General features: G+C 51.6%; 5 protein-coding genes and 1 non-coding gene across 44 annotated transcripts in view, besides 12 other annotated features; 2 read left to right on the forward strand and 4 right to left on the reverse strand.

Moving 5' to 3' along the window:
* MARS1 (methionyl-tRNA synthetase 1) overlaps nucleotides 1-218 on the forward strand; it is a 28585-nt gene extending 28367 nt beyond the window's left edge. For both annotated transcript variants that reach the window (NM_004990.4, XM_047428851.1), the window contains one exon: nucleotides 1-218. In NM_004990.4, the coding sequence (NP_004981.2) occupies nucleotides 1-147 (147 nt within the window). In that variant the 3' untranslated portion in view covers nucleotides 148-218.
* Nucleotides 154-4083, reverse strand: DDIT3 (DNA damage inducible transcript 3). 9 transcript variants are annotated; one of them, NM_001195057.1, is made up of 4 exons: nucleotides 3984-4083; nucleotides 1272-1319; nucleotides 835-990; nucleotides 154-746 (listed from the first exon to the last, which is right to left on the reverse strand). In NM_001195057.1, exons 3-4 carry the CDS (start codon nucleotides 970-972, stop codon nucleotides 375-377), a joined length of 510 nt encoding a protein of 169 aa, NP_001181986.1. In that variant the 5' UTR covers nucleotides 973-990; nucleotides 1272-1319; nucleotides 3984-4083; the 3' UTR covers nucleotides 154-374. The 9 variants fall into 9 exon arrangements, 8 of the variants coding, with proteins under 8 accessions (NP_001181986.1, NP_001181984.1, NP_001181983.1 ...); NM_001195055.1 differs by having other exon boundaries at nucleotides 835-1085; NM_001195054.1 differs by having other exon boundaries at nucleotides 835-1108.
* LOC128125814 (uncharacterized) lies at nucleotides 1278-4046 on the reverse strand. The gene is made up of 2 exons (NM_001414991.1): nucleotides 3984-4046; nucleotides 1278-1319 (listed from the first exon to the last, which is right to left on the reverse strand). The coding sequence occupies exons 1-2, from the start codon at nucleotides 4044-4046 to the stop codon at nucleotides 1278-1280; spliced, it is 105 nt and encodes a 34-aa protein (NP_001401920.1).
* Nucleotides 2729-2825, reverse strand: MIR616 (microRNA 616). The gene has a single exon (NR_030346.1). It is a non-coding gene; the product is annotated as a microRNA 616 (primary transcript).
* Nucleotides 2916-3877: an enhancer, noted in NCBI's record as "H3K27ac hESC enhancer chr12:57913133-57914094 (GRCh37/hg19 assembly coordinates)". NCBI's record gives its function as "activates a minimal SCP1, AML or CMV promoter by ChIP-STARR-seq in naive and primed H9 embryonic stem cells {active_cell/tissue: H9 hESC(naive and primed)}" and the evidence as "EXISTENCE:reporter gene assay evidence [ECO:0000049][PMID:30033119]".
* Nucleotides 3848-3977: an enhancer, noted in NCBI's record as "active region_6544". NCBI's record gives its function as "activates an Ori minimal core promoter by ATAC-STARR-seq in GM12878 lymphoblastoid cells {active_cell/tissue: GM12878}" and the evidence as "EXISTENCE:reporter gene assay evidence [ECO:0000049][PMID:35858748]".
* Nucleotides 3848-5798: a biological region, named in NCBI's record as "BRD4-independent group 4 enhancer GRCh37_chr12:57914069-57915268".
* Nucleotides 3852-5051: an enhancer, noted in NCBI's record as "BRD4-independent group 4 enhancer chr12:57914069-57915268 (GRCh37/hg19 assembly coordinates)". NCBI's record gives its function as "activates an origin of replication core promoter dependent on BRD2, P300/CBP, MED14 and CDK7 cofactors, and independent of BRD4, by STARR-seq in HCT116 cells {active_cell/tissue: HCT116}" and the evidence as "EXISTENCE:reporter gene assay evidence [ECO:0000049][PMID:35650434]".
* Nucleotides 3878-4837: an enhancer, noted in NCBI's record as "H3K27ac-H3K4me1 hESC enhancer chr12:57914095-57915054 (GRCh37/hg19 assembly coordinates)". NCBI's record gives its function as "activates a minimal SCP1, AML or CMV promoter by ChIP-STARR-seq in naive and primed H9 embryonic stem cells {active_cell/tissue: H9 hESC(naive and primed)}" and the evidence as "EXISTENCE:reporter gene assay evidence [ECO:0000049][PMID:30033119]".
* Nucleotides 4048-4507: a silencer, noted in NCBI's record as "silent region_4582". NCBI's record gives its function as "represses an Ori minimal core promoter by ATAC-STARR-seq in GM12878 lymphoblastoid cells {active_cell/tissue: GM12878}" and the evidence as "EXISTENCE:reporter gene assay evidence [ECO:0000049][PMID:35858748]".
* On the forward strand, nucleotides 4281-15111 carry MBD6 (methyl-CpG binding domain protein 6). Of its 22 annotated transcripts, none has more exons than XR_007063034.1 (15): nucleotides 4281-4313; nucleotides 7595-7658; nucleotides 7846-7982; nucleotides 8286-8388; nucleotides 8519-8681; nucleotides 8914-9954; nucleotides 10132-10793; nucleotides 11073-11226; nucleotides 11414-11583; nucleotides 11713-12126; nucleotides 12232-12284; nucleotides 12512-12575; nucleotides 12726-12895; nucleotides 13177-13240; nucleotides 13500-13714. XR_007063034.1 is itself a non-coding variant. In XM_011537851.4 (13 exons), the coding sequence occupies exons 3-13, from the start codon at nucleotides 7870-7872 to the stop codon at nucleotides 12798-12800; spliced, it is 3015 nt and encodes a 1004-aa protein (XP_011536153.1). In that variant the 5' UTR covers nucleotides 4281-5533; nucleotides 7595-7658; nucleotides 7846-7869; the 3' UTR covers nucleotides 12801-13714. The 22 variants fall into 22 exon arrangements, 9 of the variants coding, with proteins under 9 accessions (XP_011536153.1, XP_006719281.1, XP_006719280.1 ...); XR_007063033.1 differs by having other exon boundaries at nucleotides 4281-4309; XR_007063029.1 differs by lacking the exons at nucleotides 4281-4313; nucleotides 13500-13714 and adding exons at nucleotides 6390-6577; nucleotides 14721-15111 and having other exon boundaries at nucleotides 11710-12126.
* Nucleotides 4838-5798: an enhancer, noted in NCBI's record as "H3K27ac-H3K4me1 hESC enhancer chr12:57915055-57916015 (GRCh37/hg19 assembly coordinates)". NCBI's record gives its function as "activates a minimal SCP1, AML or CMV promoter by ChIP-STARR-seq in naive and primed H9 embryonic stem cells {active_cell/tissue: H9 hESC(naive and primed)}" and the evidence as "EXISTENCE:reporter gene assay evidence [ECO:0000049][PMID:30033119]".
* Nucleotides 5432-5541: an enhancer, noted in NCBI's record as "active region_6545". NCBI's record gives its function as "activates an Ori minimal core promoter by ATAC-STARR-seq in GM12878 lymphoblastoid cells {active_cell/tissue: GM12878}" and the evidence as "EXISTENCE:reporter gene assay evidence [ECO:0000049][PMID:35858748]".
* Nucleotides 5632-5701: an enhancer, noted in NCBI's record as "active region_6546". NCBI's record gives its function as "activates an Ori minimal core promoter by ATAC-STARR-seq in GM12878 lymphoblastoid cells {active_cell/tissue: GM12878}" and the evidence as "EXISTENCE:reporter gene assay evidence [ECO:0000049][PMID:35858748]".
* Nucleotides 5799-6758: an enhancer, noted in NCBI's record as "H3K27ac-H3K4me1 hESC enhancer chr12:57916016-57916975 (GRCh37/hg19 assembly coordinates)". NCBI's record gives its function as "activates a minimal SCP1, AML or CMV promoter by ChIP-STARR-seq in primed H9 embryonic stem cells {active_cell/tissue: H9 hESC(primed)}" and the evidence as "EXISTENCE:reporter gene assay evidence [ECO:0000049][PMID:30033119]".
* Nucleotides 5822-5961: an enhancer, noted in NCBI's record as "active region_6547". NCBI's record gives its function as "activates an Ori minimal core promoter by ATAC-STARR-seq in GM12878 lymphoblastoid cells {active_cell/tissue: GM12878}" and the evidence as "EXISTENCE:reporter gene assay evidence [ECO:0000049][PMID:35858748]".
* Nucleotides 6222-6621: a silencer, noted in NCBI's record as "silent region_4583". NCBI's record gives its function as "represses an Ori minimal core promoter by ATAC-STARR-seq in GM12878 lymphoblastoid cells {active_cell/tissue: GM12878}" and the evidence as "EXISTENCE:reporter gene assay evidence [ECO:0000049][PMID:35858748]".
* Nucleotides 13617-27683, reverse strand: part of DCTN2 (dynactin subunit 2) — a 17142-nt gene continuing 3075 nt past the window's right edge. For 2 of the 9 annotated variants that reach the window (NM_001261412.2, NM_001348065.2), the window contains exons 3-15: nucleotides 22085-22090; nucleotides 19315-19411; nucleotides 19050-19111; nucleotides 18622-18720; nucleotides 17858-18018; nucleotides 17519-17663; nucleotides 16804-16869; nucleotides 16550-16588; nucleotides 16299-16376; nucleotides 16138-16209; nucleotides 15779-15881; nucleotides 15581-15672; nucleotides 13617-14341 (exon numbers count right to left, since the gene is read on the reverse strand). In NM_001261412.2, the coding sequence (NP_001248341.1) occupies nucleotides 14255-14341; nucleotides 15581-15672; nucleotides 15779-15881; nucleotides 16138-16209; nucleotides 16299-16376; nucleotides 16550-16588; nucleotides 16804-16869; nucleotides 17519-17663; nucleotides 17858-18018; nucleotides 18622-18720; nucleotides 19050-19111; nucleotides 19315-19411; nucleotides 22085-22090 (1107 nt within the window). In that variant the 3' untranslated portion in view covers nucleotides 13617-14254. Of the gene's footprint in view, nucleotides 14342-15580; nucleotides 15673-15778; nucleotides 15882-16137; nucleotides 16210-16298; nucleotides 16377-16549; nucleotides 16589-16803; nucleotides 16870-17518; nucleotides 17664-17857; nucleotides 18019-18621; nucleotides 18721-19049; nucleotides 19112-19314; nucleotides 19412-21818; nucleotides 21914-22084; nucleotides 22091-24929; nucleotides 24939-26511; nucleotides 26557-27683 lie in introns of those variants that run through there. The other 7 variants (NM_001348067.2, NM_006400.5, NM_001348066.2 and 4 more) reach the window with 7 other exon arrangements.

The raw sequence follows: 27683 nt of genomic DNA on the forward strand, positions 1-27683 counted from the left end.
GGAAACATTGTCCGAGAACTGAAAGCACAAAAGGCAGACAAGAACGAGGTTGCTGCGGAGGTGGCGAAACTCTTGGATCTAAAGAAACAGTTGGCTGTAGCTGAGGGGAAACCCCCTGAAGCCCCTAAAGGCAAGAAGAAAAAGTAAAAGACCTTGGCTCATAGAAAGTCACTTTAATAGATAGGGACAGTAATAAATAAATGTACAATCTCTATATACAAGCTGAGACCTTTCCTTTTGTCTACTCCAAGCCTTCCCCCTGCGTATGTGGGATTGAGGGTCACATCATTGGCACTAGTGAGAGGGTAGTCAGTAGCCACTTCTGGGAAAGGTGGGTAGTGTGGCCCAAGTGGGGGACTGATGCTCCCAATTGTTCATGCTTGGTGCAGATTCACCATTCGGTCAATCAGAGCTCGGCGAGTCGCCTCTACTTCCCTGGTCAGGCGCTCGATTTCCTGCTTGAGCCGTTCATTCTCTTCAGCTAGCTGTGCCACTTTCCTTTCATTCTCCTGTTCTTTCTCCTTCATGCGCTGCTTTCCAGCCCGGGCTGGGGAATGACCACTCTGTTTCCGTTTCCTGGTTCTCCCTTGGTCTTCCTCCTCTTCCTCCTGAGCCAGGGAGCTCTGACTGGAATCTGGAGAGTGAGGGCTCTGGGAGGTGCTTGTGACCTCTGCTGGTTCTGGCTCCTCCTCAGTCAGCCAAGCCAGAGAAGCAGGGTCAAGAGTGGTGAAGATTTTTGATTCTTCCTTCAAGGAAATGAGGAAAGGGAACATAGATATTAGTTGAGAAGGGAAAGGTAACATCCCCCTTTAGCTTTAGGGCTAACATTCTTACCTCTTCATTTCCAGGAGGTGAAACATAGGTACCCCCATTTTCATCTGAAGACAGGACCTCTTGCAGGTCCTCATACCAGGCTTCCAGCTCCCAGCTGGACAGTGTCCCGAAGGAGAAAGGCAATGACTCAGCTGCCATCTCTGCAGTTGGATCAGTCTGGAAAAGCACATCTGCAGGATAATGGGGAGTGGCTGGAACAAGCTCCATGTAGCAAACAGTCTATGCCACAAGTTGGCAAGCTGGTCTGATGCCTGTTTTTGTAGGTAAAGTTGTACTGGAATACAGCCACATCTGTTTATTTACATATTGTTTATGGCTGCTTTGGTGCTACAGTGGCAGAGATGAAGAGTCACGCTAGAGACTATAGGACTTTTAACATCTAAAATATTTACTGTCCTGCCGTTTAAAATTTTTGGAAAAGGGTAGGTTAAGTTTACCTGCTTTCAGGTGTGGTGATGTATGAAGATACACTTCCTTCTTGAACACTGTGGGCAACAAAGAGAAATGTCAGCCATTTTTGGAAGGGGGAGAGGCAACTTACTTTTCTTTTTCTTTTTTTCTTTCTTTTTTTTTTTTTGAGACCAAGTCTTGCTCTGTTGCCAGGCTGAAGTGCAGTGGTGCGATCTCGGCTCACTGCAACCTCTGCCTCCTCGGTTCAAGTGATTCTTCTGCCTCGGCCTCCCGAGTAGCTGGGACTACAGGCGCGTGCCACCACGCCCAGCTAATTTTTGTGTTTTTAGCAGAGATAGGGTTTCACTATGTTGGCCAGGATGGTCTCCATCTCTTAACCTTGTGATCCATCGCTTCCCAAAGTGCTGGGATTATAGGCATGAGCTACCGTGCTGGGCCCTTATTTTTCTTTTACCTCCAGCCTCCTACTGGTCCTTCCTTACTTCTGGTCTTGTGGGGTATGCATACTTGGTCCCTGTAGCCATTTCGAAGGGCAGAAGAGGGCCTGACTTTCTTTATTTTTAGTTGCTGACATTTGTAGTCCTGGTTACATAATAGTAAAGTCCTGGCCAACTCAGCTTTCTCTAAATCCAAAGCAGGCCTCAAATCTGCCAGGGTAAAAACTAAACTACAGGGAAGGGAACAAATCATAGCATTTTCCTAACTCCATTCCCACAGGGCTGACATCCTCCAAATGTACATTTCCAGTCTGGACCTCTTCCAGAACTTCAGACTCTGCTGTCTACTGCCTACTTGCCATTTCTTTTTCAATGTCTAATAGGCACCTAAGACTATGTGCAAAGGCAAACTCTTGCTGATTTTCCCCTTCCAAGGTCATCCCCATCTCAGATGACAACTCTAGTTGCTTAAGCTAAAAACCTTGGTATCATCCTTCATTCCTCTTCTCTCACACCCTGCAATCCAAAGTACTAGCAAATTTTAACTCATTCCTTTTTTTCTGAGACGGGTCTCACTCTTTTTGCCCAGGCTGGAAGGCAGTGGCGCAATCGGCTCACTGCAACCTCCGCCTGCTGGGTTCAAGCGATTCTCCTGCTTCAGCCTCCGGAGTAGCTGGGATTACAGGCATGCACTGCCATGCCCGGCTAATTTTTGTATTTTTAGTAAAGATGGGATTTCACCATGTTGGCCAGGCTGGTCTTGAACTCCTGACCTCAGGTGATCCACCCACCTCTGGTCTCCCAAAGTGCTGGGATTACAGGTGTGAGCCACCATGCCCGGCCCTTAACTCATTCTTTAAAAATGAGTTTTTAAAACCTTTGCTTAGAAGAATCTAAACACTTCTAATTCCATTGTTTCCAATCTAGATCAATTCACTACCATCTCTAAATTACTGCAGAAACTTTCTGACTGCAGAAGGTCTTCCCATTTCTTCTCTTGCCACCCCTCCGCAACTCTATTCACCATACAGCAGCCTGAGTGAGCCTTTTAAAACAGGTCATTCCTCTGCTCAAACCCTCCAATGACTTCCTATTTCATGTCATGGAAGTCACTGAAGGGTTTTGAGTGGAGGAATTACCTAAGGTAATTCCTGACCACCTGATGTAACACTCTGACCTCCATCCTGAACATTCTCCATTCCTTTCTCTGCTTTAGCTTTCTCCGTGGCACTTATATTTTGTTTACTGTAGGCCTCCCACTGAGATGATTTTTTCCTCTTGCTCAAGGATGTACCCTGAGCCCCAAACTGTGTGGCACACAGTAGGTCCTCATTAAGTATTTGTTAAGAATGAATGGATAAACTCCCCCCAGTCTCTCTTATAGGGAAGGGGCAGAAGCAGAGTGGCAGCTGCTGATCCCTAGGGGCTAGAGATGCAATATTGCCCGAAGTATTTCTCTGCAGGGCTGTCCTCCCTGGGGAACCCTCCCTTGCCTTCCAGTGTGTGGGACTTGGCTTTCATCAGCAGTAGAGCCTCAGGTCAGAAGGCTGCAGAGCCAAACGGGGCTGGCCTGATGCAATGGTTACACAGAGATTAGCTGGGAGACAGGACCGGGTTAAAGAGGCAGGGACTAATCCCGAGGGAAGGACAATACCCTGGGGAGACCCCAAATGGCCTCCTACACTTAAGAGATCCAGGCTGCTCTCTTGTGCAGGAGGCCCAGAGACCTCTACGGCAAAAGGAAAACACACCACTCCCTGTCCATCGGCACCCCTCCCAAAGGCTTGTGTCTCCTCAAGGTTCCCCTATCCGCTGCAGGGTCCAGTAGCCCCAGCTACCAAGGTGGCCATGCTGACACCAGAGGCACTGAGACTGAGACAGAATTGGGGGTGGGGTAGGGAGAAGGCCCGCTGGTGGCGAAGCGGCGGAAACGGCCTGAGCGATGGTCACCCAGTCTTAGAGCGGGGGTGTGTCCTGCTGACCTGCCTCCCCGCGGACAGGCCTAACGATGAGGCCTGAAGTTGGCTACGGGAAAGAATGAATTTCCCAAGGGCAACCGAGGTCCCTTTGCCCAGCAGCACAGAGCAGGGCCCGTGTTCCGGCTCCGGGCAGGGGTGGAGAGACGCCGTCGTCCGAAGCAATAGGGGTTTGTAAGCACCACCCCAGAATAAGGGACTCTCCCCATTCCTCTCTCGGACGGTCCCTAACTTCACTGTGGAGGAGTGAGGCCGATCCTAAAGAGCGGACGCCCCAACTTTGAGGAGACGGGAGGGTAAAAGGTAGATGGGAATCAGTACTCGCCTCTCTCCTCAGGTTCCAGCTCTGATTTTGGCTCTGTCGCTGCCACCCGCTCATCTTTAACATGATACGCTCAGTGCCTTAGACTTAAGTCTCTGACCTCGGGAGCGCCTGGCTGTAATCTTTTACCATGGCCTTGCCCTCCTCTCAGGGGCGGGACCCCAAAACCTACCAATCAGAAAGTGGCACGCCGGCATTGGCCCCGCCCCGTCCCTCGCATCCGCCACTCAGGAGCCCCGCGGCACCGCCCCCGTCGCTCCCTCTCGCTAGGGGGTCGACGTAGTGTCGGACCCGGAAGTGGCTTTGGGTCACGAGGCTTCACGGAGGAGGTGGGTGAGTCATGCGCGCGCGCGGAGGGGAGTGTAGCGGGGGGGGAGGGGAGGAAAGGGGGGCGGGGATGATGCAATGTTTGGCAACCGGTGTCTGCACGCGCACGCGCAGGGGACACCGAGGGTGGTGGGAGGTGCGGAGGGTGGGGGAGAGGAGAGAGGGCGGGGCGCCAGCTCCCGGCGCCCAACGGCCCCAACGGCTATCAGCCTTGGTCGCCCCTAGTCGGTCGTGAGCCTCTTTGCCGCTTGTCTCCCCCAGAAGCTGCTGTTCCGCCCACCTAGCTTTACCCGCCGTTTTACCCCCACTATAAGGGACTCCCATATTTCTTGGCCCCTCCCAGCTAATGGGCACATAGGCCTTTTGAACTTTTCTTTTTAAAGTTGGTATCCATCCACTGGGATTGTCGACATCTCGAGTCTTCTTAAAGAGGTCTCCTGGCCGGGCTCAGTGGCTTACGCCTGTAATCCCAGCACTTTGGGAGGCTGAGGAGAGCGGATCACTTGAGGTCAGGAGTTCGAGATCAGCCTGACCAACATGGTGAAACCCCGTCTCTACTAAAAATACAAAAATTAGCCGGGTGTGGTGATGCGCGCCTGTAATCCCAGCTACTCTGGAGGCAGAGGCAGAAGAATCGCTTGAACCCTGGAGGCGGATGTTGCAGTGACCGAGATCGCGCCACTGCACTCCAGCCTGGGTGACAGAGCGAGACTACGTTTCACCAAAAACAAAAAACAAAACAAACAAACAAAAAAACGGGGGTGGTCTCCTGTTCTAGCCCCGTAAATCTCCCAAAAGGGGCCGAGGTACTGGAATCCCTTGGTAGTCATTTTCCGCTTCTCTCAGAACAGCGCCCTTGACTTTTACCTTGTAGTTGGTAAGCCCTCAGCCTGCCAGAAGTCATGTATTTTGCCCAGTGGACCCGATTCTGTTTGGCCACCTATTTTCCCCCACGGTACTCCTATGGCTTTCTCCAAGACCCTCTCTTGCTGTACCAGACAGCAAGTCCTGTGACTCCCTGTGTGAGGAGCGCGGCACAGGCCTGCCTCCTAGGTGTTCGGGTCGAGATTTACAGCGGAGTCTCATCCCGGGACGTGTGAGTGCACTTCAGCGCAGGACTGCCCTGGACTGGGGAGACCGGAGCCGCGATTTTAGACTCAACTCCCCATCACTTGCCAAGGGATCTTACCGTCCTTGTTTGTAAATTAAAGATAAAAGTTGTGAAGGTAAAATGAGAACCATGAACTTGGAGGCAACTTGACCAAAAGTAAAACGCACCACCCAGAATGCAAAGTATTTTTCTTGTGCCTTGAAAACAGAGGCCATGTGGTGGCCTGTTACATATCCTGTCATACCCTCATGGGGGCAGCCAGAGTTTAAGTAGAAACTGTCACAAGGCCGGTTGTGACTGGAGTGGTGTGGCAATGACAGGTCTTTGGTTAGGCTGCTCCGCTGCTCCACACCTCCATTTCCTCTCTGAAAATGGGGGTAGTGTGGAGGGTGGACCAGATGGTCTCCCCTGGCCTAAAGACAGACCAGGTTGTCAGTGACAGGCAGAGGTCATGTGACTTGACAGGCTGAGGTCGTGTTGTGACATGTTGACCTGGGGAGGCGGGTCAAGTCCCAGCACACTACCCGGGAAGCCTTTGGGGCGGGGCAGGGCAAGTCGCGACTTTCATCTTTCGGGGCCTGGCCCCTCCCGGACCTGGCATTCCTGGTTCCCGCAACAGACTGTGGCTTTGGAAGGGGCCCCTCCCTGAGGAGGGCTGGGATTGGCCACCAGTGGCCTGGGAAGAGGCGCAGATCCTTCCGCGGAGGGCGGGGGGGCCGCGTGGGGTGTTTGTTCTCTTGGGGATTAATGGGGGGTTGTGGGGGAGGGGTAGGCGCGCTCCCGCATGCGCACTGCAGCCCCTCCAGTTGGCTCGTCGCTGTCCGCTGGGCGGGGGCCCGGCCCCGCCCCTCTCCCGTCCGGGCAGCGGCGGAGGCGGCGGCTCCTGCGGCGGCGGCTGCGGCAGCGACGGCGGCGGCGGCAGCGGCAGCAGCCTGCGCAGTGCCTTCTGGGAACGGAATCCCCAGGGCTGCCCCTGGCCCCCATGGCGCATGCGCGGGAGGCCGCTCGGTGATCCGCGGCGGCGGCAGCGGCGCTTCCTGCTAGGACCGGCCGGGGCCGTACCGGAGGCTCGGGCTCCACCGACCCTCCTCCCACCCCCTCCCACTCACCCTCTGGGCCGCGACTGCGCAGGGCGGGGCCGGCCGAACCATGGGCCGCGGTGAGTGCGGGGCCCGGCCCCCCCCACCCTGCCCCTCCCCCTCCCGTCCCTACCCTCTGCCCCCTCCGCGTCCTCTCGGCCCCTTTCCCCGGCCCCATCCCCACTCCCCCGCCCTCACCTGCCCCCGCCGCTTCTCCCTCTCACTGCCAGACTTCTGCCTTCCTCACCGCCCTCCCCTCAGTGCTTCGCCCACCCTCCGCCCGCCCTCTCCCCAAGTTCCTTCCTACTTCGTGCGCCTTCCCCTCCTCCTCAAGCTGAGGGAAGCAGTCTGGGTGACAGGGCGCCTTGTTGTGAGAGGGAAAGTTTGGAAGCCGCCAGTGTGGGGTGGGAGCAATGGTGAGGCTGGGGAGGATACCTGCAGGTTGGAGGGGCTTCCCCTTCTATCGGAGGACAGGCTCTCTTGGAGATAATCGGAAGCCAGTGGAATAGGAGGTTCTGAATCCCTTTGCCGTAGGCTTGAGGGAAAATCAGGAGCTTCCCAGGATCCTGGGAGAAGACTGAGCTGTGATCCTCACCTCTTAAGACCCGAATGAACTATATCAGCGATTGTCTGATGGAGCAGGCATGGGGGGAGTTCTGCTGGTACCACCCCAGCGGGCAGTTGGGCAATTGCCTGGTGACCTGTGGGGCAATCTGTACTTTTTATATCATCTTCCTGGGTAGAGAACAACAGGAGCCAGACACTCTGGGAAACTTCCTAGTGGCCTAGCATTATGGGAATGTGCCCATACTCCTGGTTGAAGTCTTCTACTCCGAATGGAGGGAGGCCTTGCCCTTCATATGCCTAAGAATTGGGCTAGACTTTCTTGGTCCCAGGGAGCTGAGGTTCTGACCCTCTGGTCCCTAGGGACTGGGCTTGGAAAGGATGGTTGTAGACTAAGCCAGCAGATCCCCGAGATCTTTATAGGTGCTTGCCTCACATTGTTAAGGATCTTTCTTTTGAGAGGGTGCTGGGCTGTGCTGCTCTTTAGAGTTGGGCAGACTCCTGACAGTCCCATCTCTCTACTTGCGTTGCAGGTGTGGGCTAAGCTGGTGGCCCCGGCTTTAGACTGGACCCCACAATGTTTGCAGAGATGTTCAGGTAGCTGTGGTGATACGGCAGAGGACTCCTCAGTCTCCCTCCCAGCTGAGGGGTTCCCCTTGCTCCTCTGGGGCTTCCCCTGAGTTTTCTTGGGTCTCCCCACAACCTTTGCCTTCCTGGAGTCCTCTCTCAGGTACTTCGCTCAGTTTAATCCTCCTAGTGCCTACATGGATGTCTGTGTTATCAGGCACGCGGGAGCTGATTACACACAATGAATGGGGGCAATGAGAGCAGTGGAGCAGACAGAGCTGGGGGCCCTGTGGCCACATCTGTCCCCATCGGCTGGCAGCGCTGTGTGCGAGAGGGTGCTGTGCTCTACATCAGGTACGGATCTTCACAGGTCCCCAAGCTCTGCCACTCCAGTTGCCCAGGTTTTCTTTCTTCCGTTTCTTCTCTCAGCTCAGCTCTCTGGTACCCGATTGCTCTCCTCTCTTCCCCTTCCTTCCTCAGCCTTTTTGCTTTCTGTAGCTCTGGGCCTTTGAATCCATTCTCCCTTTTTCTGTGTCTTCCCACATTCCTTATCCTCTGTTCTTCTAGGAGGATCTGTAACTTAAGCACTGTGCTTTAGGAGTATTGCCTGATTCGCTGCCAGCTAACCCCATGTCCTCTGACCCTGTCCTCTCGCAGTCCAAGTGGCACAGAGCTGTCTTCCTTGGAGCAAACCCGGAGCTACCTCCTCAGCGATGGGACCTGCAAGTGCGGTCTGGAGTGTCCACTTAATGTCCCCAAGGTCAGAGTGGTGAGGGGCGCCTGAGAGTACAGAGATAAGCTAAAAGTCTTAATGCAAATCACTGACTGAGGTAGCCCTTCTCACAGGTTCCAGCCCCTCAGGGTCCCTGTCCTTGCTTTCCACCTTACAGGTTTTCAACTTTGACCCTTTGGCCCCGGTGACCCCGGGTGGGGCTGGGGTGGGGCCAGCATCAGAGGAGGACATGACCAAGCTGTGCAACCACCGGCGGAAAGCTGTTGCTATGGCAACTCTGTACCGCAGCATGGAGACCACCTGCTCACACTCTTCTCCTGGTGAGTCTTCTGCCACTTTACAGAAGACCGAGGAAAACCTAAGGGCTTGGAAGGCTGGTGGTGGGAGGAGTTCCTTGAGAGGGAGCAAAGAGAAAGGGGAGTGGGTGGGGAGCTGCATGTTGAAAGGAGGGCACAGGGAGGTTGGGAACTTGTGGGAGATGGGACTAGAGAAGACAAAAGAGTTTTTGGAAGGGGAGCCACAGGCTGACCCTTCATTTTTCATTTATTGCAGGAGAGGGAGCGAGCCCCCAAATGTTCCACACTGTGTCCCCAGGGCCCCCCTCTGCCCGCCCTCCCTGTCGAGTTCCTCCTACAACTCCACTTAATGGGGGTCCTGGCTCCCTTCCCCCAGAACCACCCTCAGTTTCCCAGGCCTTTCCCACTCTAGCAGGCCCTGGGGGGCTTTTCCCCCCAAGGCTTGCTGACCCAGTCCCTTCTGGGGGCAGTAGCAGCCCCCGTTTCCTCCCAAGGGGCAATGCCCCCTCTCCAGCCCCACCTCCTCCACCTGCTATCAGCCTCAATGCTCCCTCATACAACTGGGGAGCTGCCCTCAGATCCAGCCTGGTGCCCTCTGACCTGGGCTCTCCTCCGGCCCCTCATGCCTCCTCCTCACCACCTTCAGACCCTCCTCTCTTCCACTGTAGTGATGCCTTAACACCCCCTCCCCTGCCCCCGAGCAATAATCTCCCCGCCCACCCTGGTCCTGCCTCTCAGCCACCAGTGTCTTCAGCCACTATGCACCTGCCCCTGGTCCTGGGGCCCCTGGGAGGGGCCCCCACGGTGGAGGGGCCTGGGGCACCCCCCTTCCTTGCTAGCAGCCTACTCTCTGCAGCGGCCAAGGCACAGCATCCCCCACTACCCCCTCCCAGCACTTTACAGGGCCGAAGGCCCCGTGCCCAGGCACCCTCAGCTTCCCACTCCTCATCACTTCGTCCCTCTCAGCGTCGTCCCCGCAGACCCCCTACTGTATTTCGATTGCTAGAAGGGAGAGGCCCTCAAACCCCTAGACGGAGCCGTCCTCGGGCCCCTGCTCCTGTCCCCCAACCCTTTTCTCTCCCGGAGCCATCCCAACCAATTCTCCCTTCTGTGCTGTCCCTGCTGGGACTCCCCACCCCTGGCCCTTCCCACTCTGATGGAAGCTTTAACCTTTTGGGGTCAGATGCACACCTTCCTCCTCCCCCAACCCTCTCCTCAGGGAGCCCTCCCCAGCCCAGGCACCCCATCCAGCCCTCCCTGCCTGGGACCACCAGTGGCAGCCTCAGCAGTGTGCCAGGTATGTGAGTATTGTGGAGCCCTTCCTCATCCTGGCTGGAAAGAGGCAGCCAAGGCATTTAGGGGAATGTTCAGAGAGCTCTTTGAGGGTTTTCTGGGTTGGGGGCAGGGAGGTTGGCTTCTTTGGATGATGGGAGAAAGGGCCTCCCTTGAGCTGAATTTCTCTCCTCTTTTACAGGTGCCCCTGCCCCACCAGCTGCCTCCAAAGCCCCAGTAGTCCCCAGCCCTGTGCTTCAAAGCCCATCCGAAGGACTGGGGATGGGGGCAGGCCCGGCCTGCCCTCTGCCTCCCCTGGCTGGTGGAGAGGCTTTCCCTTTCCCCAGCCCTGAGCAGGGCCTGGCACTGAGTGGAGCTGGCTTCCCTGGGATGCTTGGGGCCTTGCCTCTCCCTCTGAGTCTGGGGCAGCCTCCACCTTCTCCATTGCTCAACCACAGTTTATTTGGTGTGCTGACTGGGGGAGGAGGACAACCTCCCCCTGAGCCCCTGCTACCCCCACCAGGAGGACCTGGTCCTCCCCTAGCCCCAGGAGAGCCTGAAGGGCCTTCGCTTTTGGTGGCTTCCTTGCTTCCTCCACCACCCTCAGACCTTCTTCCACCTCCTTCAGCACCTCCCAGCAACCTCCTTGCCTCTTTCCTGCCCCTGTTGGCTCTGGGCCCCACAGCTGGGGATGGGGAGGGATCTGCAGAGGGAGCCGGGGGTCCAAGTGGGGAGCCATTTTCAGGCTTGGGAGACCTGTCCCCCCTACTTTTCCCCCCACTTTCAGCCCCCCCTACCCTCATAGCTTTAAATTCTGCGCTGCTGGCTGCCACCCTGGATCCCCCCTCGGGGACACCCCCCCAGGTGAGGATGGGGGTGAGTAGGTGGGACAGAACAAGATGTAGAATAAGAGATGGGAGCTGGGAATCAAAAGCTTTCAGTTTCATTCCTGAGCTCTTCCTTGGGGCCTTTGGGGAGGCCTTAGTTCTTGGCTGGGGGTAGGATGACTGCAAGAATTGGGTCTGTATTTAATAAGCATGGCCTATCTCACTTGAGGCTTCAGTCAGATAGTGGATGTGAAAGCACTATAAATCTGTTGAGTATTTTACACGCGTAAGTGTTAGAATCATTCTTTTTTCTTAGCCCTGTGTCCTGAGTGCCCCCCAACCTGGACCACCTACCTCCAGTGTCACCACGGCAACTACTGACCCGGGGGCCTCCTCTCTGGGCAAGGCCCCCTCCAACTCAGGGAGACCCCCCCAACTCCTTAGCCCTCTGCTGGGTGCCAGCCTGCTGGGTGAGTCTGAGGGAGTGTGAATTCACACTCTTGGTGTGAAAAAGCAGGAGTAAAACTTGGGAGTAGTGGCTGAATAAATTGGGGAAGAAAGTCTTTGGCCACTGGATAAAGCCTAAAGAGAATAGTAGGTCTGCTCAGCCTAATTGGTTTGCCTAGGGAGAGACCCCTGACTATAATTTCTCAACAGGTGACCTGTCTTCACTGACCAGCAGCCCTGGAGCCCTCCCCAGCCTGTTGCAGCCTCCTGGCCCTCTTCTCTCTGGCCAGTTGGGGCTGCAGCTCCTCCCTGGGGGGGGAGCTCCTCCACCCCTCTCAGAGGCTTCTAGTCCCCTAGCCTGCCTGCTACAGAGTCTCCAGGTGAGGGTGTGGGCATATATTTGTCAGGGAGATAATTTTTTCTCAAACTGGAAATTTAGGGCTTTCTGAGTTATAGTAGAAGAGGGACGGTATTTGAGATTGACTGAGAACTTATTTTTTTGCCAGCAGATCCCTCCAGAGCAGCCAGAAGCCCCCTGTCTACCCCCCGAGAGCCCTGCCTCAGCCCTCGAACCAGAGCCTGCCAGGCCTCCCCTCAGTGCCTTAGCCCCACCCCATGGTTCTCCCGACCCCCCAGTCCCTGAGCTGCTCACTGGGAGGGGGTCAGGGAAACGGGGCCGGAGGGGAGGAGGGGGACTTAGGGGCATTAATGGTGAGGCCAGGCCAGCCCGGGGCCGAAAGCCTGGCAGCCGGCGGGAGCCTGGCCGACTGGCCCTCAAATGGGGGACACGTGGTGGCTTCAATGGACAAATGGAAAGGTCCCCAAGAAGAACCCACCATTGGCAGCATAATGGGGAGCTGGCTGAAGGGGGTGCTGAGCCCAAGGATCCACCCCCTCCCGGGCCCCATTCTGAGGACCTTAAGGTGAGTGCAGAGTGCTGGTAGTCTGGGCTCAGGGGCTCTGAGGAAAGGTTGGGGCTTTGGAGCCTTTTTCGAAATTTCCCACACACATAGTCCATCTTTTCTCAGGTGCCCCCGGGAGTAGTCAGAAAGTCTCGTCGTGGCCGTAGGAGAAAATACAAGTGAGTGTTGGGCCTACTATAGTGCTGGCCTTTGCCTACTTCTTTTTGGTTTGGACAGTTCTAATGTCCAAATAGTGGCTTGGTTTTCAAAAGGGCAGATTCTTATTTGAATATGAATAAGGATATTATGCCTTTACTATCCAAATGTAGAAAGTTTCCCACCCAAACTTCTGAAATTCACCTGGTGCTTGGGAGCTGTTCCTGATCATCTGTGCCCCTTATTGCAGCCCTACCCGGAACAGCAATAGCTCCCGCCAGGACATTACCTTGGAACCCAGCCCTACAGCCCGAGTAAGTGTGTGTTTGGGTGGATGGGTGGATGGGTAGGGTGTAAGGGATGAGGCGGCAGGAGGAAAGGAGGGTTAGAGGGAGTGGGGAGAAAAGAAGACTTCCTGATACCTAGCAATTGACCACTTCTATCAACTTCCCCTCTGATATTAGGCAGCTGTCCCTCTGCCTCCCCGGGCCCGCCCTGGCCGTCCTGCCAAAAACAAGAGGAGGAAACTGGCCCCATAGCAGCCATACCTGGAGCTGGATCTGACCCTGATTGGGGAGAGCTGAGTGCTGAGCCTTGGGAGCCCCTGCCAGCCACCTGCACCTGTGGACAGTGGGTGGGGGCACTACTCCCCACTCAGAGCACAAATGCAACTCCTTCCCCTACAATCCCATCCTGAGCCATTGCAGGGGGCAGGGAAGTTCACCCCCCCCCACCACCCCCCCGCCCCCCCGAAGCCATGTCACTGAAAAGGCCTGGGGGGGATGGTATATGGCCCTTTCCCCACCAGGCGCTAAGGGGAACACCCCCTTCCCCAGGTCTTTTATTTGTTTAAGTTATTTTTGCACAAATGACTCTTTTATATTTAATTCGATTTCATTGCCTCCCTTCTTAAAGCCAACAGGCTCAGTTTACAAACCTGTGAGCTACTGTTGGCTGCTGCCCTCCTTCCCAGTGAAAGGTACAAAGCAATAAGCATCATGCATCCTCCCCTTACCCCTCCAACACCCCTCTGCCTCTGGCTCAGGTTGCTCAAAGCACAGATCCTCTCTTACCCCGTCCCCAGGTTTGAAACACATAGCCTCATTTCAAGGTGTAGCCAGGTTCCCCCGACTTTCCTCTGGGATATAAAAAAGGGGGTAAGGGGGCAAAGAGAGCCCTCTGGGCCTCTCCTCCCATACACACTACACTGCCCCTTCTCCCCCCATCAAAACGCTCAGAGACGTTGTGATGATGCGACTGAGGATTATGCAACGTGGTCCAACCGGAGCGGCCAGCATGACCAGCTGTCCAGGGGCTGCCTCCTGCCTTTTCTTTTGTAAAGACAAGACCCTTGGGAGTTTTAATTCTGTTTTGTACTTGCCCTGTGGGGCCTCCACTGCTTTTCTATGGGAGACACTCTTAATTTAACAGATGAGAATATTTTGAAACTCTGGCTCTGGCTCTGTACTCATTTTTTATTTAGTTCTTTGGTAAGAACAGGTTACAATTTAAATCCATCTCTTGTAGTATAGAGTGGCTTAGATTGCCTGTTATGACGAATGAATATCTATATCCTAGTGCTGCTTCCTCCCCAGGAAACACAGCAGAGGCCACACAGAGTACAACAGCATTTAATGGTCAGAAACAGTTGTACAGTATTACAGTCAGCCACAGAAGCTGTGTTGGGGGACAAGACCCAATCCTTCCCCACACCAGGCAAAGCAGTATTGGACATGAGTTGGCATGTGGCTGGGCCCACGTCCTTATCCCCCAGGCCTGAGGGGAGACCACCTTCTGATGATAACCAACCCCTAGCTACCACTCTGTATTCATCAGGGGAGGGGTATAAACCCCACATGCAAGAAGAACCCTTGCCCCCAGTGTCAAATGGGATGGGGATGCTAGAGTTATAGTAAAGGGGAAACCCTATGTAAGCTGTTAACAGAGTTCACAGGGGTAGGGATAACCCCTGTTCTCCAGCTCCCAAATGTGCTCACTTTCCCAGCTTCTTCATCCGTTCATCAATGCTGGCAAAGTTCCCCTCAACTGTGGCCAGGTTTTCACGCATGGTTGTCTGCACCTACAAAGTGGTAGAGAGGTTTTACTCTTTGTCAGGTCCAGTTGCTTAACTGGATGAGGACCTGAAGGAATTCTCTGAGAGAGAAGACAAGAAATGGAAGCACAATTTGTGGGCCACAGAGGGGGGATGTTTATAGCACCAATTTTCAAGCTACCCTTAGAGTACATAGACCACGCTTGGGGTGAGCCCAAGCAGGTAGGACTCGAGAATTCCCATCCTGACTTCAGCCAGAACAGTTTTTTAAAATCTGTTTTATGTAATGAGAGCTAAATAAGATTTTGTTGAAATGAGGGTTTCACTGGTTCAAAATGTTAGAAAACTGCTCTGGAGGAAAAGGATATTATTCTAAGTCCTTTATATATTTTTTCATTTATCTCAGTGATCCTGTGATTGATGCTGGTCTCTCGACTTTAATGCTCCTTCCAGCACTGAGAACAGTGCCTCCAACAGAAATTGGGACTTGCGGCCAGGTGCAGTGGCTCACGCCTGTAATCTCAGCACTTTGGGAGGCCGAGATGGGTGGGATCACTTGAGGTCAGGAGTTTGAGACCACCCTGGACAACATGGTGAAACCCCGTCTCTACTAAAAAAAAAAATTAGGTGTGGTGGTGCGTGCCTGTAATCCCAGCTACTCAATAGGCTGAGGCATGAGAATTGCTTGAGCCCGGGAGGTGGAGGCTGCAGTGAGCTGAGATCACACCACTGCACTCCAGCCTGGGCAACAGAGCGAGACTCTGTCTTAAAAATAAAAAACAATAAGAAATTGTGGACTTGCTGTGTGCCAGGCATTACTAAAAGAATGAAGGAGCTAGGTGAGGCTCATTGTCCAGGGCCAGAAAGGAAGCGACAGAACGAGATTAGGGCCTGCTTCTGACTTCAAAGCCCGGATTCCTTCCAGTGTACTGTGCTTATCAGGGAGAGTAAAGTTGAGACGACAAAGGGAAAGAGTGGGGTTTTATAAGAAAACATGTTCACTAGCCCCTAACAATTTGCCCATATTATTTCACCTCATCTACATAACTCTGAGGGAGGTATAATTTCCCAGATGGAAAGATGGAGGTTCATAGGTTAAATAAGTTGTCAAAGGGCCTTCACATTGAAAGCAGGATGGAGACTCCAGACCAACCCCCTGCCACAACACCATGCTACAAAATAGGCTAAGGCAGAACCCTATAACACTGGAGAACCTAGTTTGCACATGCTGGAGAAAGGAGGACAGATCAACAAAGGGGCACACACCTGGGTCAAGAGGGTGGTATTGTCCTTCAAGGAATTAGCAATCATCTGCTGGGTGGTATCCAAGTGTGTCAGGAGCTGACCAAACTGCATGGCTACAAAAGAAAAGTATGGTTGAGACTTGAATCCAAGATAAGGGAGGGGACCAAAAGTTGCCCATTTTTCAACTTCTCTTAGCACTCCTGGCAGCTGGCCTCCCACCTTGCTCGTGCAGCTGCTTGATGGTGACAAGTCTCTGCACCAGCTCAGGGAGGGTGGAGGCAATGGGGCTCCAGCGCTGTATAGTTTCATATAGCTGGTGCACCTGAAGGGACACAATGGGGCCCAGAGGGGATGGCTGAGGCAGCCAGGTCAGTATGTACAGACTGCTATTTCACCGTAATGGGGGAAAGGATCAAGTGGGCAGAGGGAAGCAGTGCCCTGACTTTCCAAGCTGATAAGCTCTTCATAAGAGCTTATGAAGATGGGGACCTGAGGAGTCAGTGTGTTCTCATGCTTTGACACTGCCACTCGGAGAACCTGAGGGAGTGGAAAGGAGATGGGGAAGGTGTCTTCCTGACCTTGCTTTGTGTATCTGCATCTTCTACAGAGGCTTTATGCTTGGCAATCTCGTTCACCTTTCCCAGGACACTCTGAAAACACAGATTTTAAGGTTGATAGGGCATCCAGGGCTTCCAGAGTCCCAAGCTATCCATAATTTAATTTTCCCTCCATTTAATACCTGTAGCCGAGCCTCCACTTGATCCAAAACTGCAAGGTCTAGGGCGCTCACCTTTGCTTGCAACAGCTCTACAGTCTCCTGGGGATGGAAGTTGGGACAAGCATCATGAAGAGGAAAGGCAGACTAGCAAGAGGCCTCCCATATTCCACTAAATTAATATATAGCTACAAACTCAAAAATAATCCTCAAAGCAAACCCAAACCCAACTATCCCCTCTGTGATCCAAACACTCCAGTTTCTTCCAAACTCACCATGAGACAGGCTCCCTGTAGACCTGCAGAAAGGGGATTCTGGTGGGAAAGGAAGGGAAGAAGTGAGTGGTCCTTATATCTCCATGATTATCGTCTTCTCCCATCTTTCCTGGTTCTAGCTGGGAACCCACTAGCTGATCCCTGTAACTGAAGCCCTTTGATGACTCCTCCCAGGCTTATGTGGAATGTTGTAGACCTTAAGGCCTAGAGTTGCAGGATCTAAGGCTCAGATTATGTACAGGAGAACACCTGACCTGAGCATCCTGATCACAACGTACAGCTGTCTCCAGCTCTGTCAGGCGCTTTTCAAGTTCTGCGACCTAGTGGGAGGAAGGAGGTGAGATTTGCCATCTGCTTCCCTGCTGCTGCAATGGGAGGAATACGATCCTGCTCTACTCTGCCTGCCACTCACCACCCCAAGGGATTCCTTTCCCTGGAATACATACCTAGCCACAATCTTAAAATCCTAACCAAAGGTAGATGGGCGAGGGAAACATAGAGAATGAGGTCGGGCGCGGTGGCTCACGCCTGTAATCCCAGTGCTTTGGGAGGCCGAGGCGGGCGGATCACGAGGTCAGGAGATCGAGACCATTCTGGCTAACATGGTGAAACCCCATCTCTACCAAAAATACAAAAAATGAGCCGGGCGTGGTGGCAGGTGCCTGTAGTCCCAGCTACTCAGGAGGCTGAGGCAGGAGAATGGCGTGAACCCGGGAGGCGGAGCTTGCAGTGAGCCAAGATTGCGCCACTGCACTCCAGCCTGGGAAACAGTGCAAGACTCCGTCTCAAAAAAAAAAAAAAAAGAAAGAAACATAGAGAACAACGAATCAGGAATCAAAAGAGGAATCAATCAAGAGGAATCAGAGGAATCAGAAGCCTTCCCAGCACCCTCTCCTTGGAGAGAGGCAGGAAAATCTCTAGGGTCACATCTCCCCTTGGCTTCCCAACCAACACTGTATCCACACTTACTTTGGCAGCTTGAGAGAACTTGTCCTGCTCAGGCCGAGAATGTAGTTCATAAGTGACAAGGCTGCTATCTGGGGGGGTCCCAGTGGTTTTTCCCCCTGATCCCCCTTTGCTGTTCTTTGTTGCTTCCAGCTGCAGTAGTAGGCGCCTAGTTAGGAGACCGAGTAATAATATCATGACTGGAAGGAGAAGGGCCAGTCACTCTCCCTCACTTTTGCCTCATAATCAGCATTAAGAAACATCTAAGCCACTTCTCTGCCACTTAGCACCCCTGTCAGTAGCTGGCTGAGTCCATCCACAACCCCAGTCAGCAATGATTTTTCAACAAAGTAGGGTACCCACTTAGCCAGGGCGCCATCGGGGTCGGTAAGGTTGATTGCAGCATCTGGTCCCAGCAGCTTCTCCAGGTGGGAAGCAACCAGCTGCTGCTTCAGGGCTGCCAGCTGTTTAGCCAGCAACACAGGGGTCAGCTTCTCCTCTGTGGCTGACTCCTTCACTGTCGTCTAGTATGAAAAAAGGTAGAAATCGGGGGATGGCAAGAATGAATCAAGAAGCAAAAAAATAGGTCAAGCCCTTTAAAGGTAGTTGTAGCTGGAGGTCACTGGGATGGTTTTCAGCATGACAGACTGCCCACCTGTATGTAGCACTGCATACAGATGGATGCATATTTGTAAACTCTGGAAACCTTAGCCCCTTTATCCAGGAGCTTAAGGAATCTTTCTTTCTTTCATTTTTTGAGATGGAGTCTCGCTCTGTCACCCAGGTTGGAGTGCAGTGGCATGATCTGGGCTCACTGCAACCTCCGCCTCCGAGTTCAAGCAATTCTCCTGCCTTAGCCTCCCGAGTAGCTGGGATTACAGGTATGCGCCACCACACCTGGCTAAGTTTTTGTATTTTTTTAGTACAGATGGGGTTTCATCATGTTGGCCTGGCTGGTCTTGAACTCCTGACCTCAGGTGATCCGCCTGCCTCGGCCTCCCAAAGTGGTAGGATTATAGGCGTGAGCCACCGCACCCAGCCAGGCAGGGAATCTTTCTCTTCTTGCTTGAGGTCTTCCTCTACTGTGTAAGTCACAGCAGAGAAGGGAGAAGAGAGTTTGTAGTTACCTTGATTTTTTCAACTTCAGTTGTCAGCTCTTGGACCTCATGCAGTAGGCGCTGGTACTTTTGCTGGGGTGTCTCCTTCACTCCCAGACCCTCTCCAAGCTAGAGAGCAGGCACAGAGGGTAATGTTATATGTCTCATTACAGGGAGCCTCAAGAATTCATCCACACCCTGGGCCTAAGTCATAAAGGTATCATATCCAATTGAGAATCCACAACACCCTAGTACCAAAGAACTGAGGACAGCTAGAGGGCTGGAGGCTCTCCAGAACAAACAGCAGTAGGGCAGAGTTTCCCTGGCTGCATCCTGCTGCTTCCTCAGGAACAGAGGAGGAACAGAATCCCGCCTGTATCCCTTGATCTCCCTACTACATGTCTGCTAGATAGGGTCACTACACCATTCCCATCAACACACACACACACACAACAAACCATCTCATATTCTCCAGATTCATATCCTGTCCTCTTGGTTTTTCCAATACGATCTGAGAAATCTGCCAAGAAAAGAAGATGGAACTGAGGGCCTGATCTAGGCCCAAGGCAGTCATGGTCTCAGGTGACTGTGAGGGCTTCCATAAAATATCTCCATGAGGGACCCCTTCCCCCAAGCACAACTCACTAAGACTTTAGGACAGGAAACCACTTCTCATGCTTATCCTCCAGTCTTCCCCCCACCCAGCTTCCAGCCCAGTCTCACCAAGTCCCTTTGTCCCCACTCTCTTGTCCTTGAACTTGTCATAGGCAGCATTAGGATTGACAATGATGTGTTCCACACTTGTGCTTGTCAGCTCCTCCTGCAAGAACAGGTAGTTTAGGCCAGGGACACACTCATTCCCACTCTAGAACTTACTCTACCCCACAAAATCCCCAAACCATTAGGTGACTGGGCCCTACTTGTCCAAGGGGAAAGAAGGGTGGCTCTATTCCAAGGCGCCTACCCAGGCTTAACCTAGGAAACTGAAGCTTCCTGGTAAATTTGGAGCCTCAGTTGTATAAATATTAACACCCTCATTCAACTGGGAGCAGAGGGAGCATAACCTCCCCACCCTCTCTGTACATAAGCCTTCCCATCCCCCCATGCTACCCCTCCCAGTTGTCTGGCACACGCCATGCACTCAAGGCAAGAAACCAACCTGACCTCTTTTAACCTCCCCCTCCCAAAAGTAAATCTTGCCCGCTGAGCAAGTCCATTTTAATGCTAACCTCCCATCCTTGCTAGAAGGAAAGAGGAGGGAAGGCAGATAATCAGGCCACTAACACTGAGTGTGAATATTAGGACTTTAAACCTGTTGAAGGTAAGACACAAGCTCTTAGTACAAAAAGAAGGCCGACAGAGGGCCTGACCAGAAGCCTGATTTCCAGGCTGCCATGAGGCCAGCGAACTCAGGGACAGGGAGAAGGGGCAAGGGCTTACTGGATTATCTTTATGGGACATCTTAGAAGCAACAAACATAGGCAATATCTGCTTGCCAAGAGTATCCATGGGCAAGAGCCACATGTAAGCTCTGAAATGGAGATAAACCAGCATCTCTTCAGAGACGCTGCAGCACCTGATTTTTCTCCCTGACTCCTCTGCTATGCTTTAAGCACTGAAGCTCTTCCAAAAACAGGGGACACAAGTAGGCGGTGAAAGAGACTTCACCCTAGAAACTGAAGCAGAGAGGTTCCCTCCTTACTAGATATCTACATGCTGTTCAGATTCCAGTGACAACACCAAGACTGCACCAAGCACTCCTGACTGCATGTCCCTTTTTCAATTGTCAGAAGCCTGACAGCTCCCAACAGAGTACTGATGGAAGTAGGAGGGAGACCCAGGAGTCCTTTTCTGTTGGGGATGACATCTCTACCTTCTATGGGAGGAAGGCAAAATGAGCCTTCCTTCTTTCACCTAGAACAATGGTTCTCACCCCAGGCTGCATGTTAGAATCACTTATAATTTTTTTTTTTTTTTAAATAGACAGCCGGGCAATGGTGGCTCAAGCCTGTCTGTAGTCCCAGCACTTTGGGAGGATCCTAATTCCAAGTGATCCACCCGCCTCGGCCTCCCAAAGTTCGGCCAAGGCGGGTGGATCTCAGGAGTTCAAGACCAGCCTGGGCAACATAGGGAAACCCCAACTCTACAAAAAATATAAAATAGCTGGGTATTGTGGCACGTGCCTGTGGTCCCAGCTACTCAGGAGGCTGAGGTGGAAGGGTCACTTGAGCCTGGCAGGTGGAGGATGCAGTGAGCAGAGATCATGCCACTGCACTCCAGCCTGGGCAACAGAGTGAGACCCTGTCTCAAAAAAAGAAAAAGAGAGAGAGAGAAAAGAAAAAAAAAAAAAAAAAAAGGCCTGGGCCCACTTCTAGAGATTCTAATGAATTATTCTGGGGTAGGGCCAGATATCCAGGTGATTCTAACCTACAGCCAGGACTGAGAATCTCTGCCTGTGTGTAGGTATGTGGGGAGAGGGTGTGAGGGGGACATGGTGGGACATCATTGAGAAAGAAAAGCAGATAGAAGGAAGCTCCTTCCTTCATCTCTGCTCTGCTATTAGAGCAGGAATCAGTGTGGGTGACAGCTTTAAAAATAAGGGAAGAAGGAAGGAAAGGACAAAGTATCAACTTTGATCTTTACCTCTTCCTCAGGGAATTACTGGGCAGAGGGGTAAGAGCTATAGATCAAGGGAAAACAAAAGGACTCAATGTCCCATATGCAAGTGCCCGGGGGGAGAGACATTTGAGTCCCAAATGATTATCTCTTTAACCTGTTCTGAAATGTTACGGCCAGAACACCCACCCATCTAATAGCTGTGTGATCTCTGGCCTCTTATCAACTGGGAAGGGCTCAGGCTAAGGATAGACAACCATCTTCTCTGAAGTTCATACTCAGGAATATGCCACTTCTCCCTGTGAAAGCCCCAATCCAGGCCAATCCCACCCATCCTCTTTTGTTTAATCCTCTTAAAAAAGAGGAATGGGAGGCATAACCTACAGACCCAGGAAAAAAATTAATCATAGCTACCATTTGTTAAGCCCTTATTATGGGCGGGCACTATGCAGATGGAACCTACTTTCTTATTTACGTTCCTAAGTAGGGAAAGCGGGGAGTAGAAGAGGGTCAACACATAGACGGTGAGTCTCAGAGGTTCTGGACAGTCACAGGGACAGAGAGCATTTTCATTCCTGCTGTGGGAGAGTGTCCTGGGCCAGTTGGGCTACCTGGCGCTGGCATCCTCTGGAGCCTCTCCAAGGCTGTGGCCCGGGAGCACACTCTAGTCCTCCAGTAGCACCTACTCCAGCAGTGTCTTGAAGATCTGGGGCATGAGTTGGGGGCAGTATAATTACAGTGACTTGTGAGATAGGAAAAGGCTGGGTGTGGGACTGAATAGATGAATGAAAGATTTAGTAGAGTCTAAAGGACAGAGAAACAACTGCTCATCATAGCACACCCCGTTAAAAAGCAGATGAAAGGTCAGGCTTCTTACCAGCTCCTTGTGGTTTCCCCAGAGGTGAGAAAATCAAAAGAGTTAAAAGGAAAGGGAGTGGGGGAATGGGGATGAGGGAGGGAAAAAAAAGACAAAATTGTTATTAGCAAATTGTCACATGCACTACATGACAGTCTTCCAACACACTGCACCACAGGGCCCCAGGGGAGCCTAGCGAAATTTAGGGGCCAAGAAATTTCAGCTGGGGTCACCATATACCCCAAGAGAAAGAAGAGCATGAGACCCTTTTCCCTCTGGTGGTGAGGATGTCATGAAGCTTTGCCATTAACAGCAGCAGTTTAGGATCATCTGAAAACTAGGAGTTAGATGTTACCAGCCAGTGGCATGGAATAAGAAACTGGGGAGAGAAGGCTGAGGTGGTGGGGAAGCTATTAGAAATGGTAGAAGATGAAGCAGAAGTTAGAAATTCTTAGACTTGTAGCTGATAGAGGGTCAATAATTCTCAGGAGAGGAGTTCCCCTTCTTAGTTCATGGCCCTTGTCTTCCTATCTCTTAGTTTCTCTAGCTGTGAAAAATTAGACATTTGGATGGCAGAATCAGTCACAATGAGAGTGATCAGGTAGGAAGTCTGATATGACTTTAGGTGAGACAAAACAAAATATGTCAGGTACAGATGGTGAGTTAAAGGAATGATGAAGTACCTAAGTATAGCCCCGTTCTCATTTCCTCCTGCAAGGGAAGAGGCAGAGCTGCTCCTGGTCCCTTGTGCAGCCTGGCATGTTTGCCTCCACCTTGAGTGGCTGGTAACTCACCCTGCAGCTCCGAAGGATCTAGAGCAATTCTGCCATGATGTACTTACACAGAGGGTCCAGGGGACATCAAGATTCACAGGTACTAGCACATGTGCAGAACATGTTTCTTCAACCCTCTGTTCACAAGATTCACAGGGGTTGGAGGGTAAACAAAGGGGAAGGGTGAGAGTATTTCCAAGAGGCCTTATTTGAGTCTGGGCCACATAGATAAGGCTCCCACTTCCGGGCAAGGCTGGTTTAGAACTGCCAGAAGGGGATATCCAGTGGTATGTCCTGCCTTTCTAGGAGCTCTGCTGATGGGCAGATGGTTGAGGATGGTTGTATGCATATGAAAAACCATGGTGGGATTAAAAACAAGTGCTTCCTTTCACCAAGATTTCATCCAGATACCTCTTAATCACAACCTCTCTGTTCCCTAGACGATGCTAGGGTCCCAGCCAAGATTCCTCTTTCCACCAGGCACGGTGTCTCACATCTGTAATCCCAGCACTTTGGGAGGGCGAGGTGGGTGGATCACTTGAGGTCAGGAGTTCGAGACCAGCCTGGCCACCATGGTGAAACCCCATCTCTACTAAAAATACAAAATTAGCCAGGCATGGTGGTGGACGCCTGTAATCCCAGCTACTCGGGAGGCTGAGGCAGGAGAATCATTTGAACCCGGGAGGTGGAGGTTGCAGTTGAACCCGGCAGGCGGAGGTTGCAGTGAGCTGAGATCATGCCACTGCACTCCAGCCTGGGTGACAGAGTGAGACTGTCTCAAAAAAAAAAAAAAAATTCCTCTTTCAGCTCAGGGTAGAGGTGGCTCCAGATCCTGTGGTCGAGGCTGGGATGTCTCTGCATAGAGTGGGTGTAAGCACCCATAAGTGCAAACATGCAAACACAAAGGAGAAGTACACACACTATACCTTTCTCTGATTTGTCCCACCAAGCTAAAACCAGCTTGGGAGAAACTCAAGGAGAGAAAGAAGACAATGGGCCATAAGCTCAATTTCAAACCATGCGGATTGGGCAGAATAGGGAGGACAGAAAATCAAATAAAAGGAAAAGTGGTATATTAGTTTGCAGATAGTATATACCACCTCCAGGTCTGTCCTATGGGTGGGTTGAAGGTTGATGAGATTTTAGGCATGATTCCTGCATAACCTGGAGTAGTACTAGTCACCTTGATTGGAAGATTTCAAGTGCCCTGGCCCCGGGTGCCAGCTTACCTAGTACGTGACTCCCAGTCTCTTTCACTAAGGGACTCCCAGACCCCCCAGGGCTGTTTGGCTAAGTGGCTGTGCCTCAGAGGGCAAGATCTGAGGTTCTAAATCAGACAGGGAAAGTGGCCACTGTTACTCTCTGAGCCTATTCAGGCTGTACGCCAACACTGCAGCCAGGGTACTTCAAAACCATGATGACAAGGAAGATGGACAGAGCTGTAGAGTAAAACTGTCCGGGATGGATCAATATATTGCTGACCATCCATCCATTTCAAAAGGAGGGGTGCAGAAACAGAAAGACTCACAAAAGCACAAATAATCCAAGTTATCTTACAATTGCATATAAACCTCCTTCTCATCCCATTTACATTTCTCTAAAGACCTAGCATAGGGGAATATTAAAATGAGTTTTTCCCAGAGATAATCCACATACAGCCAAGAACTGAGGACTGTGGCTGTCATCCCTTTTGTTTTCTATCCTTGTCTAGAATAGCTAAAAGTCATTCCATAAAAAAATCTTCATTTGATCTTAGTCTGAGGAGGAGAAAGGAAACTGCCTTCTAACTCCAGCCCCTAAATGCCTCATGTTCAAAAACATTTAAAGCCTCCATGCTTCTATCCCATCCTCCACTGGACAGTTTTACTCTGCAGACCTCACAAGGGGAAGAGACAATGATTCATGGATCATAGCTGTTTCTAACCCTTGATTAATGATCTTTAAACATAAGGCCAGCAGGCCCCTCAGTGACCCAGCCAGGGACTCACTGGAATTTAAAACGATTAGCTACAACAATAGCACAGTGGCAGAGCATTGCATGCGAGATGGCAGATGAAAAAAACATGCAGAGAAGAAGCATTGAATGGTCTTACTTGTGCAAACTAGTGTCCAGGCAAGGTGGTGAGGAGGGAGGATGGGGGAAGCATTAGGAAAAACTCAGGTAAGTTCAAGTGCGCCAACAGTCAATGAACACAATCAAGCATACTCCAGGATCTTCTAAACTGTAAGGAAGTACTGTTTCTCATCTCAGGAGTGTCCAGTAATATCTACCTTTTGGAGAAATGAAGCCTCTGCCAGGGCCCCATCAAACTATGGCTAGGTCATTTTTTCCCCTTTTACTGCGGGTAGTTATGCCATAAAGAGAGAAGCTAAATTGTTTCTAATGAGGTTTTTCTTAATTTACTTCCCTTATTCCAGCAGTTCAAAAGCCATGAGCAGAAAGCCTCACTGACCCAAGGCAGGCTGTGGGCCCAGGGGTTAGGGTCGGGGTGTGTGTGTGGGTGGAATTCTATTTGGGAATTAGTTTTCCAAACATTTTAAGAAAAATCTCCAAGCAAGCCTATTGCCCCAATTAACCTGGGAGTGTCTGAAGTGCAAAGAGATCTTCCCAGATTGAGGAGGAAAGGGCTACAGCCCGTGCACTTTCCTGGTCCATTCCTGTTTTAGAAGATTTTACTTCCTGCTAAAATTGTTTTAAAGGGATAGTAGAAAAATCAGGATTGGCCAGGCACAGTGGCTCATGCTTGTAATCCCAGCACTCTGGGAGGCCTAGGTGAGTGGATCACCTGAGGTCAGGGGTTTGAGACCAGCCTAGCCAACATGGTGAAACCCTGTCTCTACTAGAAATACAAAAAATTAGCCGGGTGTGGTGATGGACACCTGTAATTCCAGCTACTCAGGAGGCTGAGGCAGGAGAATCTCTTGAACTCGGGAGGTGGAGGTTACAGTGAGCTGAGATCACGCCATTGCACTCCAGCCTGGGCAAAAAGAGTGAAACTCCATCTTGAAAAAAAAAAAAATTCACGATCATCTGTAGCAAAATTTAAATCTTTTATGCTTTCCTCCCCCATCCTCCCCACTATGGGAATCGGAAAATGTTTATGTTTAAGTTAAATTAGCAATTTAAATCTTTAAGGGATGTTTGAGGACATTTTTCCTTTAGTAGCCCAATTTCTTCCACAGTGGAGGAATCACAGGAAGAAAGTTATGGAGCAGTGAGGGTCAACACAACTTGACTATTCCTTTAGACAGAAATCTGGAGACCCGGCTGGCATGGTAGCTCACGCCTGTAATCCCAGCACTTTGGGAGGCCAAGATGGATGGATCACTTGAGGCCAGGAGTTCGAGACCAACCTGGCCAACATGGTGAAACCCCATCTCTACTAAAAATACAGAAAATTAGCCAGGTGTGGTGGCACATGCCTGTAATTCCAGCTACTTGGGAGGCTGAGGCAGGAGAATCGCTTGAACCGGGGAGGCAAAGGTTGCAGTGAGACAAGATTGTGCCACTGCACTCCAGCCTGGGGGAAAGAGTGAGACTCTGTCTCAAAAACCAAAAAGAAATCTGGAGACCCCCTGAAAGGTTCCACAAGAGTCTATCCATATTGGTTGTCTCTAGGGAAGAGAACTGAGTGGTGGTAGGCAGAGGTGGGAGGCAGATTTTTCACTACTTACCCTTGAATCCTCTGTTCCCTGTGCATACATTACCTACTTTAAAAACTGATAAAATTAAAGTTGAAAATAAACTGAAGATTAAGGCGGAGAATGCTGTTGTCAGGGGTTAAGAAGGTGACTGAGGCTGGGCATGGTGGCTCACGTCTGTAATCCCAGCACTTTGGGAGGCCAAGACAGGCGGATCACGAGGTCAGGAGATCGAGACCATCCTGGCTAACACATGAAACCCCGTCTCTACTAAAAATACAAGAAAATTAGCCGGGTGTGGTGGTGGGCGCCTACAGTCTCAGCTACTCGGGAGGCTAAGGCAGGAGAATGGCGTGAACCCGGGAGGTGGAGCTCGCAGTGAGCCAAGATCACGCCACTGCACTCCAGCCTGGGCGACAGAGTGAGACTCCGTCTCAAAAAAAAAAGAAAAAAAAAGAAGGTGACTGAAAATCTCATGGTTCAGCCACAAGACAGGTCATGTGCACTGTCACTTGTACTAGGTCTTGGGCAGGTAGGCAGGAAACAGACAGGCTGCTGGTGAGATCCCAGGCCTCACGGACATGACATTTCTAGATTATCTAAGCATACAATTCACTGCTCCTCAAATTGCATATTTACGTCAGTATTAAAAGCAGTGGCAGAGCCATTACTCAGCTGACTTCCCAAAAGCTGCAAGCCCCATAGGGACATGCGGGGGCCAGAGACATTAGCTGACATCAGGAAACATCTTGGCTCTTCGGGCCCCTGAAGTGGCTGAAGGTCTGCCCACCCCATTCCTCCCTAGTGACAGAGAGTCACTTAGCTGAGCCTTAGGTGACAGAAACAATTCAGCTCTTCTTGTATTTGCCATTCAGCTCATATGCACTTCTATACTGGCATCCTGGGCAACATGCCACAGGAAATGAACACTCACAGTATCCTCTCCTCATCAGCCACCCCACTAGATGCTACTAAAATAGGCTGTTCAGGCTCTGGGGGAGAAACAGCCAATCAGAGCTGCACAGTCAGGTTCTTCCACACCTGGAATGGGTGTCATCTCCTTTTTATTAAGAGATATCCCAGTATCTTCAAAAGGGAATGACAATATGTATTTTTTTGTTTAGAAAGAGGATTACTGTGAAACTACCTGTTTGTATCACAGCGACAAAAGGACTGAGTTCTATTCATTATCTCACCATGAAGGG

The sequence above is a fragment of the Homo sapiens genome, chromosome 12 (genome assembly GCF_000001405.40).
Source record: "Homo sapiens chromosome 12, GRCh38.p14 Primary Assembly".
NCBI lineage: Eukaryota > Metazoa > Chordata > Mammalia > Primates > Hominidae > Homo > Homo sapiens.

Coding starts and splice junctions, on each gene's coding strand:
- DDIT3 (NM_001195055.1), bottom strand. CDS start 1,041: ATGGAGCTTGTTCCAGCCACTCCCCATTATCCTGCAGATGTGCTTTTC. Junction 747..834: donor CACCTCCTGGAAATGAAGAG/GTAAGAATGTTA, acceptor ATTTCCTTGAAG/GAAGAATCAAAAATCTTCAC.
- LOC128125814 (NM_001414991.1), bottom strand. CDS start 4,046: ATGTTAAAGATGAGCGGGTGGCAGCGACAGAGCCAAAATCAGAGCTGG. Junction 1,320..3,983: donor GCTGGAACCTGAGGAGAGAG/GCGAGTACTGAT, acceptor TGTTGCCCACAG/TGTTCAAGAAGGAAGTGTAT.
- MBD6 (XM_011537851.4), top strand. CDS start 7,870: ATGAATGGGGGCAATGAGAGCAGTGGAGCAGACAGAGCTGGGGGCCCT. Junction 8,389..8,518: donor GTCCACTTAATGTCCCCAAG/GTCAGAGTGGTG, acceptor TCCACCTTACAG/GTTTTCAACTTTGACCCTTT. Junction 11,227..11,413: donor GCTGGGTGCCAGCCTGCTGG/GTGAGTCTGAGG, acceptor ATTTCTCAACAG/GTGACCTGTCTTCACTGACC.